The sequence below is a fragment of the Homo sapiens genome, chromosome 9 (assembly GCF_000001405.40).
Source record: "Homo sapiens chromosome 9, GRCh38.p14 Primary Assembly".
NCBI lineage: Eukaryota > Metazoa > Chordata > Mammalia > Primates > Hominidae > Homo > Homo sapiens.
The window spans coordinates 122,818,049-122,833,104 of NC_000009.12; the positions used below are offsets into that span (position 1 = coordinate 122,818,049).

At 43.2% G+C, this 15,056-nt stretch overlaps 1 protein-coding gene across 1 annotated transcript, besides 1 other annotated feature; it reads right to left on the bottom strand.

The window, feature by feature from the left end:
* Positions 1 to 48: 48 nt before the first annotated feature.
* Positions 49 to 10,540, bottom strand: PDCL (phosducin like). Its single transcript, NM_005388.5, has 4 exons — positions 10,423 to 10,540; positions 8,568 to 8,744; positions 4,968 to 5,149; positions 49 to 2,588 (listed from the first exon to the last, which is right to left on the bottom strand). Exons 2-4 carry the CDS (start codon positions 8,737 to 8,739, stop codon positions 2,037 to 2,039), a joined length of 906 nt encoding a protein of 301 aa, NP_005379.3. The 5' UTR covers positions 8,740 to 8,744; positions 10,423 to 10,540; the 3' UTR covers positions 49 to 2,036.
* Positions 10,442 to 10,736: an enhancer, noted in NCBI's record as "tiled region #52; HepG2 Activating DNase unmatched - State 1:Tss, and K562 Activating DNase unmatched - State 1:Tss". NCBI's record gives its function as "activates a minimal TATA promoter and a strong SV40 promoter by Sharpr-MPRA in HepG2 and K562 cells {active_cell/tissue: HepG2 | K562}" and the evidence as "EXISTENCE:reporter gene assay evidence [ECO:0000049][PMID:27701403]".

The following is a 15,056-nucleotide window of genomic DNA, read 5'->3' on the forward strand; positions in this document are numbered from 1 at the left end:
CCTGAGGTCAGGAGCTTGAGACCAGTCTGGCCAACATGGTGAAACCCCGTCTCTAGTAAAAATACAAAAATTAGCCAGGCGTGATGGCATGTGCCTGTAGTCCCAGCTACTCAGGAGGCTGAGGCAGGAGAACTGCTTGAACCCAGGAGGTGGAGGTTGCAGTGAGCCGAGATCACGCTATTGTACTCCAGCCTGGGTGACAGAGCGAGACTCCATCTCAAAGAAAACAAACAAAATAAATAAATAAAAATAAAGAGACTGGTTAAATAAATTATTATATATCCAAATGATGAAATATTATGAAGCCACTGAAAATTATTTATTTAGAATGTTTGAAACATCAAAGTATTTATGATACAACACTAAATAAGGAAGAGCACAGAACTAAATTCAGTAAGTACTCAATGTTTATAAAAATATTGAAAAAAGACTGAAAGGAAATAAGCTAGACTAACAATACTTCCCTGCTTCTAATAATTTTCAATACATTCCACCCTTTCTACTACAACGAGCTTTCTTAGTCAAAAAAAAAAAAAATGCACTCTGTTTGTTGACTAAATACTTTCAAGACTCTTTTACAGTTAGTCAATTCCTGAAAAGCCAGGAAAATCAAAATTGTGAATTTTAAGGCTAATATTTAATTCCAGATTACATTTCCCCTGACCCTAGAATATACATTTTTAAAGTTAAAAAAAGGAAAAAAACGCAAATGATAATTATTATAAATACATAGAAAAAAAGGCTATAAAAATGACTAGAAATATGACAAAAGGGATTAATTTTGGTTGGTGGAATTATATGGCTTTTAAGTCTTAACAGTGTTTATTACATTTTCTACAATGAACATCTATCACTTTTGTAATTTAAAAAAAGTATTTGCTATCTTTCTTTTTAAGAGACAACCATCAAGCAAATTATATCACATCTATACGATGGAATATTAATAGACATTTTTAAAAAGTTGTAGAATATTTAATAATATAAAAAAAGGTCTGATATATTATTAGCTGACCATACTATAGAACAGTATGTTCAGAATGATCCCATCGTTTTGTTTAAAAACAAACAAAATATCCATGTATACACAGAAAACACCTTGGCAGGAAACAGACCAAAATATTAATAGTGTTTTATTCTAGGTAGTAGGATTAGAGATTATTTTAATTTTCTTATTTTTGCTTCTGTTTTGGTCAGTTTTCCTCTACTGAATATGAATTACTTTTCCAATATGAAAAAAAAAAAAAGTTTTAAAAAAAATCTAGGTTAAACAAAAAGTTACCTTGTTAAACAAAAAGTTACCTTGTTAAACAAAAAAGAGACAAAGACAAGCAGGGGCATCTTACTGAAAGAACTTCCTTTACAAAGATTTCCAGCCCCACTCCAGCTCTAATGTTTAAATCCATAAACTACTTGTCTTCTAACATCACCAGGTCAGTAAGCATCAACCCTTCCTGCTGTTCCAGACTTAGTCATGCTGGAGGAAGACATGAAATCCAGCAGCAGAGGCCACCCCTCAGGACTGGGTGCGGTGGCTCACCCCTTTAAACAAGACCCTGGTGGGGAAAAAAAAAATCTAACCACCGTCTAAAGCTATGGAACTGATTACAAGTAAATATAATTTACAATCATTTGATTAAGAAAATGCACTATTTACGTTGCAAATAACACAATACCTACAGAATTATACTCTCAGACTTGGCAGAGACCTCTAAGATCATCTGAAGACAATTTCCAAGACCCTGTCTTTAGGATGCTTTGTAAATATTGACTGGAAACAATAACAGAGATGTCACACCACAGAATCTTAAGTAAACAGTTCAAAAGCCTGGCTTCCTGTTTATACAACTGTAAGTCACCTTATTGCTAGCTACAAGGTTATTCAGCATTCTGATTTAATCTAAGAATTTCTTTATTTTATGCATAATAAAAGGGACTACAAAGAACAGCTGAAAAGCCAGAAGACAAAGGAACAAAAATAAACAATGACGTGTATTCCAACCCAAACAATGAGAAATCTATGCAACTAGACTATCAGTTCAATCTATTTCCAGGTCGCTATCCTCACTGTGACACGTGGCAGAGTTACGCACAGATGTCAGCACCAAGACTTCCTTTTCTGGGAGTAATCCAAATTCCTGGAGAAAAGCTTCAAGGTCCACAGCAAAGAAATCATCCCCCAGCTGGTCAGTAACACGAACAAAATTGCCGATCAATTCACCCCCCTTATAGATCAGCAGGGCAGGAAGGGCATTCCTGGTGAACTGACTGCTGGCGCCAATAACTGAGCTCTTCACCTTGCAGAACTTGACAGCTGGGTACTCTGCGGCAAGGCAGATCATGCAACCATTCATGGCTTCGGTCCCTGGAATGCCATCCTCATAAATATGAACCATGATGACAATGCTTTTCTGTTCTTTATCAATCATGTCTAAAAACCCTTCTCCACTGGAGATCTCAAAAACCTGCTTGAATTGGGGCCCCTTGTGAAGCTGCTGCCGCATCTCTTCCATTCGCTGCTTCCGGTACTGCTGCAGAAACTCTTCATCATCTTGGTCCTCATTCATTATGGCAAACTCCTTCAGAGTCATCTGCAGGCGGACCAGCAAGTGAGCATAAATATGAAAACTGAACACTCGTGATAACAGTTAATATGGGCCGGGCGCGGTGGCTCACGCCTGTAATCCTAGCACTTTGGGAGGCTGAGACGAGCGGATCACTTGAGGTCAGGAGTTCAAGACCAGCCTGGCCAACATGGCAAAGCCTCATCTCTCCTTAAAAAAAAAAAAAAAAAAAAAAGTTAGCAGGGCATGGTGGTGTGCACCTGTGGTCCCAGCTACACTGGAGGCTGAGGCACAACAAGAATCACTTGAACCTGGGAGGCAGAGGTTGCAGTTAGCCAAGATCACACCAGTGCACTCCAGCCTGGGAGACAGGGTGATACCCTGTCTCCAAAAAAATAAAAAGAAATAAAACAGTTAACATGTACTACATGCTGATAATATATAAGGCACCATGCTAAGTACTTTACATGCATTATATCTCACTGAATTCCATAACTCCATCGGGAAGGGACTTTTAATAGCCCCACTTTATAAATGAGGTTCCAAAACTTGACATTATTTGAACAAGTTCACCCAGTAAGCATAAGACCAGTACTCAAACTAGATTTTAAAAACCCATGTTTTTAACTACAATATCACATTTCCTCTCAATCCAAATAGGCAGCATCATATAATCTCACTTCATGAGCTTATTTCTTTTTGTCAGTCTTGACAATATTTTATCTACTTTTTTTTTGAAAGATAACAAGACATTACAGAATTTTAGAAAAAACTCTCATAACCCCTGCCCCACACCATCCCCAAACACACACACACACACAGAGTCATATGGACTCTAAAAATTATTTTTATTACCAGTCATACTAAAATAGTTTTGCTTTTATAGCAGCAGCTGTGGGTGTACCAATTAAGCCATAACCTGCTTTCGAGACTTAGCACGATTATAAGTATTTCCTCATGTTTCCAAATATTTTTATGAAATTATATATAATGTGTCACTTTGCTTAATCACTTCCCTAATTCTGCCAGACAGTTTCCAATTCTGTTCTATTGCAGATAAATCAGCAGGACGGGAACAGCCTCTCACAAGACTGATCCATGTGATGATATGATGTTGCCTCATTCTGGCCTCTCACCTCAGTATCAGGAAGCAGCTGTGAGCAGCAGGCACAATGCCCAAGAGACAGCTTAAGCTACGAAAGCATCTTACCCCTGCCCCGGTGCAGCAAGACATCCTCGCTCCTCTCATAAAACCTAACTCTGCCTAATGTTGCATAGATTAGGGAACAGGGAGTGGGAGATCACACTAGATCAGAACACGTTGTTACTTTATCATAACCAGCAACATTCTGAGTTCACTATTTTACTTATTGCCAATTTTCCTCCCATCTTGCAGCCCTCCACTTCAACTCAGTCTACCAGAGTGGCTTCTTCTGACCTATTGAAGTCTTTGGCTAAGTGTAATGTCCTAAAATCAGCCTCCTGGTCAAGGTGAATGATTCCCAGCTTAATCCTCTTATCTGCTCCCTGATCCTGTGTGGTATTTTAGCTTTGGGCCATAACTAAATGATCTCAGGCACTCACAGACATTCGTCCACACTCAGAGGGCATCCAGAGAAACAGTGAATCCCTTTTAATACTGATAGGATAAGAGGCCATCACGGGCCGGGCACCACGGCTCACGCCTGTAATCCTAGCACTTTGGGAGGCTATGGTGGGAGGGTCCCTTGACCTCAGGAGTTCCGAGACCAGCCTGGGCAACATAGACCCTGTCTCTATTAAAAAAAAAAAAAAAAAGGCCATCAGGTGCCTACTTCCAAATATCTTCCAGAGTATCTGTTTGCTTATTATAATGCCTCCTTAGAATAAATTCTCATGAATAGGCTTCAGATGAAATAGCAACATCATGGAAGAAACAGGAGTATTTGGGTTAGAACCCTAGCGCCTACTAGAATTTACCAGTTGCATTGCCCTGAACAAGCCTCTAATGCCCTCTAAGCATTGCTTCCATTATCTGTAAGAAGGGGATAATACCACCACCCTAAGAGGGTTATTTCTGGCCCAAGATAAAACCTCAATAAAAGAAGGGAAACTAAAATTTACTGAGCACTTTCAATGGGCCAGACACTGTGATGGGCATATTAACAACACAGCCCTGCACGGGGAGGATACATCATTTAACCATTGAAACACCAGATTCAGAAGGGAAGAGACTCTCCCACAGTCACTAGTAGCAGAACTGAGATCCAAAGCTGGGTGGGTTTGAGTTTTGACAGGGCTCTATGATTTCTCCTGCACTGCACAACTTCTTGGAGGTCAAATCAAGCATCCTCCACCTCTTGAATCACTCACCCAGCTCTAGCAGCCACAGCAGACTCTAAGAAAAGCCTGAGTACTGCTAATTACCTTCCCACTGATCTTCTCCTGGAGGTCTTTCTGTTTCTGTTGCTCCTCCTCTTCATCCAGATGGGACCTGCAAGTCATTGACAGCTTCTTGATCAGCCTTTCCATCTCCCGGCACTGCTCCTCCCTCTGCTCTGTCTCCAACTGCTTGAAGCGGCGCCAGTCATTGATCACACCTTTTGGGCCTGAGTAGGGTGAACACGGATGTGACCAAGGAGAATGGGCAGGGAATTATGGACCAGCTGACATCTGTAGGTAGGAGTTCACATCTGCCTGAAGCTTGCTCCATCTACTGCACAATTATCATAGGGACTCTGTGTACTCTGCCACAGGGCAGAGTGGCCTATACACAATGATGTACCCTGCAACAAGGGCCAAGCTAATGCCCAACATTAGGAGATGAGTTTAAAAAATTATCATCTACCTACTCAAAGGAAAATAAAGCAACTCTTAGAGTAAAGCAGCTCTGTGTTTCCTGCCATTAAAGATATTCCAAATATATGAGGTTATTACAAAAGCAAAATTTAGAATATCACGGTACAATCCTCTAGTTTCTATTAAAAAAGACCTGTATGTATATACATAATTTATGTACATAGATATGCATACATGTTTGTATATACACTTGTGTGTTTATAGAATAAGAGCTTGCAGGATATGTAAGCTGTTAACAGTGGTTGTCTCCAGGTAGTAGGATCTAAGCAACTGGTGAGAGAGATCTTTTACTTTTTTCTTTCTGTACTTCTATATTATCTGAATTTTTTTTTTTTTTTTTGAGATTGAGTCTTGCTCTGTGGCCCAGGCTGGGGTGCAATGGCGCGATCTCGGCTCACTGCAACCTCCACCTCCCAGGTTCAAGCAATCCCCCTGCCTCAGCTTCCCGAGCAGCTGGGACTACAGGCATGCGCCACCATGCCCAGCTAATATTTGTATTTTTAGTAGAGACAGGGTTTCACCATGTTGGCCAGGATGGTCTCCAACTCCTGACCTCAGGTGATCCGCCCGCCTCGGCCTCCCAAAGTGCTATGGGATGATGGGCATGAGCCACCGCACCTGGCCTCTGAATTTTTTATAACAATTTTTTTATAACAAGATTGTAATACAACCTGTTCTGTTATTCCAGCTACCCTTAACCCGTCAAGCCCTGTGCTGCCGAAGGACTTATATGTCCTTGCACCTTGCTATGTGACTTGTGGTACCTCCTGTGGGATGAGTACATATATCCCCAGCCCATTGAGGCTGGGCTTGACTATGCGACTTGCTGGCCAATGGGATTGTGAGCAAATATGAAGTATGCCATGTCTGAGCAAAACAAAAAGTATGCCGTGTATGAGCCATTCCATGTTTCCAACAGCTCCTCTCTTGCTCTCTATGCTTCGCCATGAAAACGGTGTGTCCTAAATAGAGGGACACAGCCAAACTGAGGCTGTTATTCTTTCAGCCTAGCTCCTAGATGAAAGAACATACGAAACATAAGCAGGGCTGCCATTGACCTACAGGCTGCATGTAACGTGAATGAGAAATAAACCTTTGTTGCCATAAGCCACTAAAGCTTTGGAGTCTATTGGTTTCACAGAAAAAAAATATACAAATCTATATGAAGACAACTTTAAAATGCTCCCAAAAAATACTTGAAAGACTTGAATAAATGGAAAAGCAATACCATGTTCCTGAACAGACATACTCAACATCACAAAAGTGCCAATGATCCCTAAATTAATCTATATATTTAATGCATTCCCAATGAAAATACATGAACACACATATGTGTCCGGCTCCTAAATTTCCTTTGGAAAAAATAAAGCAAAAGTTAATTGAAGAGGGTCTAGCCTCACCAAATACTAAAATATAACACTACAATAATTAAAAACAGTATGACACAGCCCAGTAAAAGACAAATCAATGGAAGAGACCACATAGTACAGCTAAAGACCCAACATAAACAGAGAAATTCAGTACATAATAAAAGTGACATCTCAAGATAATAAAGATGGCTTATTCACTAAGCAGTACTGAAACAACTGAGTAGCAATCTAAAAAAAAATTAAACTGGAGCCCTACTGCACCCTGCATCAAAGTGAATTCCACATGAATCAATATTTAAGTGTAAAAAATGAAATCACAAAAATACTAATGAAAAGTATAGGAGAATCTTTTTTTTTTTTTGGAGACAGAGTCTCACTCTGTTGCCCAGGCTGGAGTACAGTGGCATGATCTTGGCTCACTGCAACCTCTGCCTCCGGGGTTCAAGCAATTCTCCTTCCTCAGCCTCCCGAGTAGTTGGGCCTACAGCCGCATGCCCCCACACCTGGCTAACTTTTTGTATTTTAGTAGAGACGGGATTTCACTGTGTTGCCCAGGCTGGTCTCGAACTCCTGAGCTCAGGCAGTCCACCCGCCTCAACCTCCCAAAGTGCTAGGATTACAGGCGTGAGCCACTGTGCTCAGCCAGGAGAACCTTTTTATACAGCAAAGTGAGGCCCTTTATAAAGTAGGGTGAAGAAACGCCTTTTAAGTAAAATGCAAAATTAAGAAACTATAAAATACTTTTAAGTACATAAAAATAAAATTTTTCATCCAGGAAAAGAACAAAAGAATATAAAGTCAAAAGACAACAACAAACTGAAAGAAATATTTACCACTCATATCACAGATTAATTTCCTTTATAGCTCCCCAAGAAGAAAAAAAACACCTAATTTTTTAAATGAGCAAAGGATATAAAAATCTCTCTTAAAATTATGAAAAGAAGTTTAGGTTCCCTCTTAAAAATAAATATGGGCCCAGTGCATTGGTTCATGCCTATGGGACGCTGAGGCAGATGATCGCTTGAGGCCAGCAGTGTGAGGCCAGCCTGGGCAACAAAGTGAGACCCCATCTCTACAAAAAATAAAGAAATAAATTAGCTGGGCACGGTGGCAAGCGCCTGTGGTCCCAGCTACACGTGGTCCCAGCTTTTTAAGAGAGGAACCTCATGGAAGCTGAGGCAGAAGGATCATTTGAGCTCAGGAAGTTGAGGCTGCAGTGAGCCATTATGGCACCAAGGCACTCCAGCCTGAGCAACAAGGTGAGAACTTGTCTTAAAAAACAAAAAAACAAAACAAAACAAAAAAAAGGTGGTGGGGGCGGAAATAAACCTACAATGAATTACTACAATAGCAAAGATCAAGGAGTTTCATAACACAGTAGGAGGTCAAGTGTACGGAGAAACACAGATTGCTGATTAAACTATAAACTACTGCCACCTCAACTCAACTGACAGCAATTTGACAATATTAAAATGTACAAGTGTAAATATGCCATTTTTAGGAATTTGCACTACCCATATACTCATACTTGTGATTTATGAGATATCAAACTGTTAATACGAGATGCAGGATTCAAATCCAGGCCAGTCTGTGTTCATTACCATGCTGCTATGCACATACATTTGTATTGTGCACTAAAAGGCTAGAAGCACACATAATGAAAAGACTAGGTTACCTCTGAAAGTGGGACCAGAGTTAAAAGTGATCAGGAGAATTAATTTATTAATATGTATTTAATTAATATGTATTTAATGTACATTTTTTAAGCCTGTTCCCAGAGCCCAGGGTTTCTCAGTACCTGTGTTAACTGAGATGCCTTCGCCTGCCAGCTCAGCCTCTGCAGGCACAGAACTGCTGGCTGGGGCACATCTGCCTCGGTCCTTGTCCTCGTGGTCACTGTCCTCATCCTCACTGCTGCTATAGTAGTACTGCAGTTTCTCCCCCAGCAACTTATCATCAAGGGTGGTCATGGTGTCTGGAAAAAGAAAGCATATCAGGTTCTTTGCTGATTTGAGCCAGACAGACATGAATCTGAAGCATAGGGGGCTCGCCTGTGCTGAGATCCTACAATTTCCAGGACACTAAAGTGATTATTTTCATAACCAAAATCTTAACAAATCCCTACCGTTACCCTGTGTGTTAGGGCTTATCACACTCTTTAACAGAAGGTAAAACTGAAGCTCAGATAAAGGAAGAGTCTTCACCAAGCTTAACAGCGAATGACGGAGCTGGGACCAGACCCCAGGGATTCCTGACTCCAAGAGCCTGAGGTATAAATTACTCTAGTCTGAGTTAAGTGTACAAGCCACCTGCACTGGCTTGGAGGAATCTACTGACTAGTGGTTTTATCTGTGCTTTTAGTTTTCCCACCAGCTAAGACTGCTGCCTAATTGAAAAATTGTTTAAGTATCCTCAGGAAAAACCCCAAAAAGAGGCATCAAGAGTACAATGCTGAGTCACTATTTGTCTAGGCAATCACTCTCTGTCACCAGCCTTCAACTTCCCAGACAACACCCTGAGGGCTTGGATGGATGGTCTCTGAAACGCTACCTATTCTGACAGTTTAAAAGAAGGGCCCATACAAAGATTTTAATAACTCCCAAGGGTTTAAAGGACTATGATGGCCGGGCTCGCGCAGGTAATCCCAGCACTTAGGGAGGCCGAGGAGGGAGGATCACTTGAGACCAGGTATTCGAGACCAGCCTGGCTAACATGGCGAAACTCTTGTCTCTACTAGTAAAAGCAAACAAACAAACAAACAAAAATTAGCCAGGTGTGGTGGCGGGTGTCTGTTTTCCCAGCTACTCAGGAGGCTGAGGCACGAGAATCTCTTGAATCCGGGAGGCGGAGGTTGCAGTGAGCCAAGATCACGCCACTGCACTCCAGCCTGGGAGACAGAGCGAGACTCTGTTTCAAAAAAAAATAAAAACTAAAAATATAAAGGACCAGGCTTCTGCATCAGAAGTAGCCAAGGGCATTCTGATGAAAAGATGCAGCTTAGCCCCCAGAGGCCTGCTTGAGAATTCAGCAGGAATGCGGCTGCCTTAAAGACTTATCACCGGGCCTATCATACTCCATTTACAAAGTGACTCTCTCCCACCGGGCAAGGAGTTCTTGAACGTAGGGACCTCTAGTCACTACCTCTATCCCCAAAGCCCAGCACAATGCCGCTGCACAATTTGCTAAACTCGCAGCCTGGGTCAACGGGAGAATCGGAGGACTCCAGCAGTCAGATGCAAAGGAGACAGGGATCATGGAGAGACAGGTGGAGGTGCCAAGAAGGAACAAAACCAAACTTAAGGCCCAGGAATGGGCCAAGCGGGGGACACAGCAGCGGCGGAGGGGAGGGAAGGAGTTGCGCTCCTAAAGGAGGGACCGCTGCGGGGAGGAGACGAGGGCGGGCCCCCTGGAGACGCGAGCAGAGGAGGCGGGGCCCCCGGACGGGAAGCAGAGGGGTGTGTGGAGCTTTTGGGGGAAGGCTGGAAGGGCCCGGGGGAGGTGGGGCCAGAGGAGGAAAGGGGACGAGGAAGACGCGGAGAACTTGGGGGTCGAGACAGAGCGAAGAAGGGGCAGTTTTACCCAAGCTCGCCAACCCCACTCCCTCCCGTAGTCCGCAGCTGCTGCCGCTTCCCGGTGGACCCCAATGCAGTTACCTGCCCTAGCTCGCTCCGGATCCCTTTGGGCCAGCAGCTCCGGGCGCCGGAAGGAATGGAGCACTTTCTTAAGAGGAAGAGCAGTGGGTCAGCGCCCTGAGCGCTAAAGAGAAAAGCCGCCGAAGCCCGACAGCGCGGACCAATGAGGCGGCCTTCCTGCGTCGTGGCGGACGCGCATTGTCCAATCAGAAGCCGCTACTCCCAGCTGAGGGGCAGGGGAGAAGCTACGGGTCCTACCTTGGAACAAAACACCTCGACAACAACGCTCTCCTAATTGCTTTGTTTTGGTTTTAATCTGCACAACAAAAAAGTGAATTGTATGACCCAGCGTCAAGCAATAAGAAAAATGTATTCACAGGCCGGGCGCGGTGGCTCACGCCTGTAATGCCAGCACTTTAGGAGGCCGAGGCGGGCGGATCACTTAAGGTCATGAGTTCAAGACCAGCCTGGCCAACACGTTGAAAACCCGTCTCTACTAAAAATACAGAAATTAGCCGGGCCTGGTGGCCGACGCCTGTAATCCAAGCTACTCGGGAGGCTGAGGCAGGAGAATCGCTTAAACCCAGGAGGCAGAAGTTGAAGTGGGCCGAGATCGCGCCACTGCACCCCAGCCTGGGCGACAGAGCGAGACTGTCTCAAAAAAAAAGAAAGAAAGAAAAGAAAAATGTATTCACTTCCCTTCGAAGTTTCCGAAGCCATTCAAAGTGTGTTTTTTATTGGTTCTTCATCGCATCACGTCTATTAGACGGAAAAGTGACTCAGAGACGTTCGGTAATTTGCCCGAGAGCACAAATCCCTCAAGTACAGGGCATAGATTAAAATATATATATATATTTTTTTGACGGAGTTTCGCTCTTCTTGCCCAGGCTGGAGTGCAGTGACGCGATCTCGGCTCACTGCAACCTCCGCCTCCCGGGTTCAAGAGATTCTCCTGCCTCAGCCTCCAGAGTAGCTGGGATTACAGGCGTCCGCCAGCAGACCCGGCTAATTTTTTCTATTTTTAGTAGAGACGGGGTTTCACCATTTTAAAGAAGCGGCAGCCAGGAGTGGTGGCGCGCGCCTGTAGTCCCAGCTACGCAGGAGGCTGAGGCGGGAGGATCGCTCAGCCCAGGACTTGGAGGCCAGCCTGGGTGACAGAGCAGGAATGTAATGTGAAATCCGGAATTGGCTCCTGGTATAGAAAAAGGACATGGGGCCGGGTGCGGTGGTTCACTCCTGTAATCCCAGCACTTTGGGAGGCCGAGGCGGGCAGATCACCTGAGGTCAGGAGTTCGAGACCAGCCTGGCCAACATGGCGAAACCCCGTCTTTACTAAAAATACAAAAATTAGCCGGGCATGGTGGTGCACACTTGTAATCCCAGCTACTCGGAGGCTGAGGCAGGAGAATCGCTTGAACCCGGGAGGCGGAGGTTGCAGACAGCTGAGATCGCACCACTGCACTCCAGCTTGGGGGTCAAGACTGAGACTCCGTCTCAAAAAAGAAAAATAAAAAGGACATGAATGGGACAACTGACGAAATTTGAATAAGGCCTATTAATTCATATTAGTAGTATTGTATCAATAGTTTTAATAATTATACTATGTAAGATGTGAACTTTTGGAGATTCTATTAGATGAAGAATCTAGGGAAGCACTATCCTATTTTTGCAACTTTGTTTTCTTCTTCCAGGGTAAAGCCATACTATGATATTTTGCAACTTTTTTTTCTTTTTCCTCAGGCATACTTTGTCGTCTGTTTTTGCAACTTTTTTAAAACCTAAAATGATTTCAAATTCTGAGCCCTTGTTGAAGTATCCAATACACAACCGTGAAGTTGCTCATAGAAAGCTTTGGGTAAATTGAATCATAGAAAATATTCTAGAAAGATACACTGTTTAAAATAGGGCTCTTAATTTGGGGTAGGGGATCTTAATTTGTGGTTCTAGGACCACCTGAAATTGTCTGCAAATTTCTGTACCTGCCTGTTTTCAGAGAGGCTGTTTGCTGAGGCCCTCAGAGGAGTCAAAAAATACCACACACAAACACACACCCATTCAAGAATACTGTATTAATAAGTCCGTTTTCATACTGCTGTAAATAAATAACCCAGTGTCAGGCAGTTCATACTGCTATAAAGAACTGCCCGACACTGGTTTATTTATTTATTTATTTATTTAAGACGGAGTCTTACTCTGTTGCCAAGGCTGGAGTGCAGTGGCGCAATTCTCGGCTCACTGCAATCTCCGCCTCCCAGGTTACAGGCTCCCGCCACCACGCCCGGCTAATTTTTGTATTTTTTAGTAGAGACGGGGTTTCACCGTGTTAGCCAGGATGGTCTCGATCTCCTGACCTCGTGATACACCCGCCTCGGCCTCCCAAAGTGCTGGGATTACAGGCGTGAGCCACCGCGCCCGGCCATATTCAACCTTTTTTAAAAAAAGTAGAAATGGGGTCTTGCTATGTTGCCCACGTTGGTCTCAAATTCAGACCTTTTAATATATTCAGTCTCCTGGTTGTATAGATATAGTGATGTCTTTGTTGGGAATGTAGCTTGCATCTGTCAGGAATATGTGTACATGAGTTAGCTATCTAATAATATCCAACAGAACCACTCATTTTTCCTGTTAGAAATGTGGAATGGGCCAGGCATGGTGGCTCACACCTGTAATCCCAGCACTTTGGGAGGCCGAGGTGGGCAGATCACGAGGTCAAGAGATCAAGACCATCCTGGCCAATATGGTGAAACCCCGTCTCTACTAAAAATACAAAAATTAGCTGGGCATGGTGGCGCACGCCTGTAGTCTCAGCTACTGGGGAGGCTAAGGCAGGAGAATCGCTTGAACCCAGGAGGTGGAGGTTGCAGTGAGCTGAGATTATGCCACTGTACTCCAGCCTGGCAACAGAGTGAGACTCCGTCTCAAAAAAAAAAAAAAGAAATGTGGAATGATGTGGATAATGAAGTTTCTGTTTAATGAGCATACTGTATGTAATTTATAGTTTTAAAGGTATTTTACCGCTACTGTAAGGTTTTTGTTGGGCTGTTTATCAGTAGAGTATATTAAAGGTATTCCCTAGTGGGGAAAACAACCCATGAGCTGTCTTGTGACGGCTAAAGCATTTATCTTTAAGCAAGGGAAACCTTGATCCAACCAGATTTATAGGCTATTTTTAAAAATATTTAAAATTTTGAAGTAACTGAATGAAATTCATATATAAGTGATTAAATAGGCCGGGCACGATGGCTTATGCCTGTAATCCCACCATTTTGGGAGGCTGAGGCAGGCAGATCATTTTAGGCCAGGAGTTCAAGACCAGCCTGGCCGACATGGTGAAACCCCATCTCTACTAAAGATACAAAAATTAGCCGGGCTGAGTGGAGCATGCCTACTGTAATCCCAGCTACTTGGGAGGCTGAGGCAGGAGAATCACCTGAACCCGGTAGAAGGAGGTTGCAGTGAGCTGAGATCATGCCACTGCACTCCAGCCTGGGAGACAGAATGAGACTCCATCTCCACAAAAAAATAAATAAATAAATAGCTAGATAAATAAATAAAATAAATGATTAAATTCCTTGAAGCATGAGTTCCAAGACTTGATCCACTCTTACAGTTTTTCCAAATCATAACAGAGGCAAAACAAGATTTGGTCTTACAATGAGTTTCTCATGTTAGATTTTTTCTACCAATATTTTTGTAAATTTAGAACAAATTTGTCCTGTTACTTTATTTTTTCTATAAGAATTAAAGGTCCAGAGATGATTTTGAATGACACCAAACCATATGAGGACTGTTTGAGATAAACAGCTTGCCCATCTGTCTTGTCTTTTCTTTCTTTTTCTTCATTTCCTGAATTCTTTTATTTTTCTTTTCCTTCCCTTCCTTTCTCTTCCCTTGTGCCTTTTCTGCTCCCTCTCCTTTTGTCCTTTCCCCTCCCTTGTTTCTCTTTCTTTCTCTCTCACCTTAACTTTCCTTCTCTGGTGGTGGTGGTGGTGTGTGTATGGCAGGGTGTTCCATCTGTTGCAACAGAATGTCTTTCTTATTTAAAAATCAGATTAAACAACCTTTTTTTTTTCTTTTTTGAGACAGAGTCTCGCTCTGTCACCCAGGCTGGAGTGTAGTGGTGCGATCTCGGCTCACTGCAACCTCCGCCTCACAGTTTCAAACAATTCTCCTGCCTCAGCCTCCTGAGTAGCACACGCTCCTGATTACAGGCACGCGCCACCACACCCGGCTAATTTTTGTATTTTTAGTAGAGACAGGGTTTCACCATGTTGGTCAGGCTGGTGTCGAACCCCTGACCACATGATCCGCCCACCTTGGCCTCTCAAAGTGCTGGGATTACAGGCGTGAGCCACACTGCACCCAGCCTAAACAACGTTTTTTTGTATTAATGAAGAGAAAACCAGTAAAGATAAGAACCACTTCCTTATATAATAGTCAGATTCTCTCTGTCTCTCTCATTTGTTTTCAAATTTTAAAAGTGGTATCTTGGCCGGTGCAGTGGCTCACACCTATAAACCCAGCAGCACTTTGGGAGGCTGAAGCAGGCAGATCACCTGAGGTCAGGAGTTTGAGATCAGCTTGGCCGGTGAAACCCTGTCTCTACTAAAAATATAAAAATTAGCTGGGCATGGTGGCATGCACCTGTAATCCCA

What these genes read in the sequence shown, in the direction of transcription:
- PDCL (NM_005388.5), bottom strand. Translation starts at nt 8,739, where the DNA reads ATGACCACCCTTGATGATAAGTTGCTGGGGGAGAAACTGCAGTACTAC. An exon ending in AGGCATCTCAGTTAACACAG is followed by an intron (nt 5,150 to 8,567) that starts GTACTGAGAAAC and finishes CACCCTACTCAG; the next exon opens with GCCCAAAAGGTGTGATCAAT. An exon ending in AGGAGAAGATCAGTGGGAAG is followed by an intron (nt 2,589 to 4,967) that starts GTAATTAGCAGT and finishes GTCCGCCTGCAG; the next exon opens with ATGACTCTGAAGGAGTTTGC.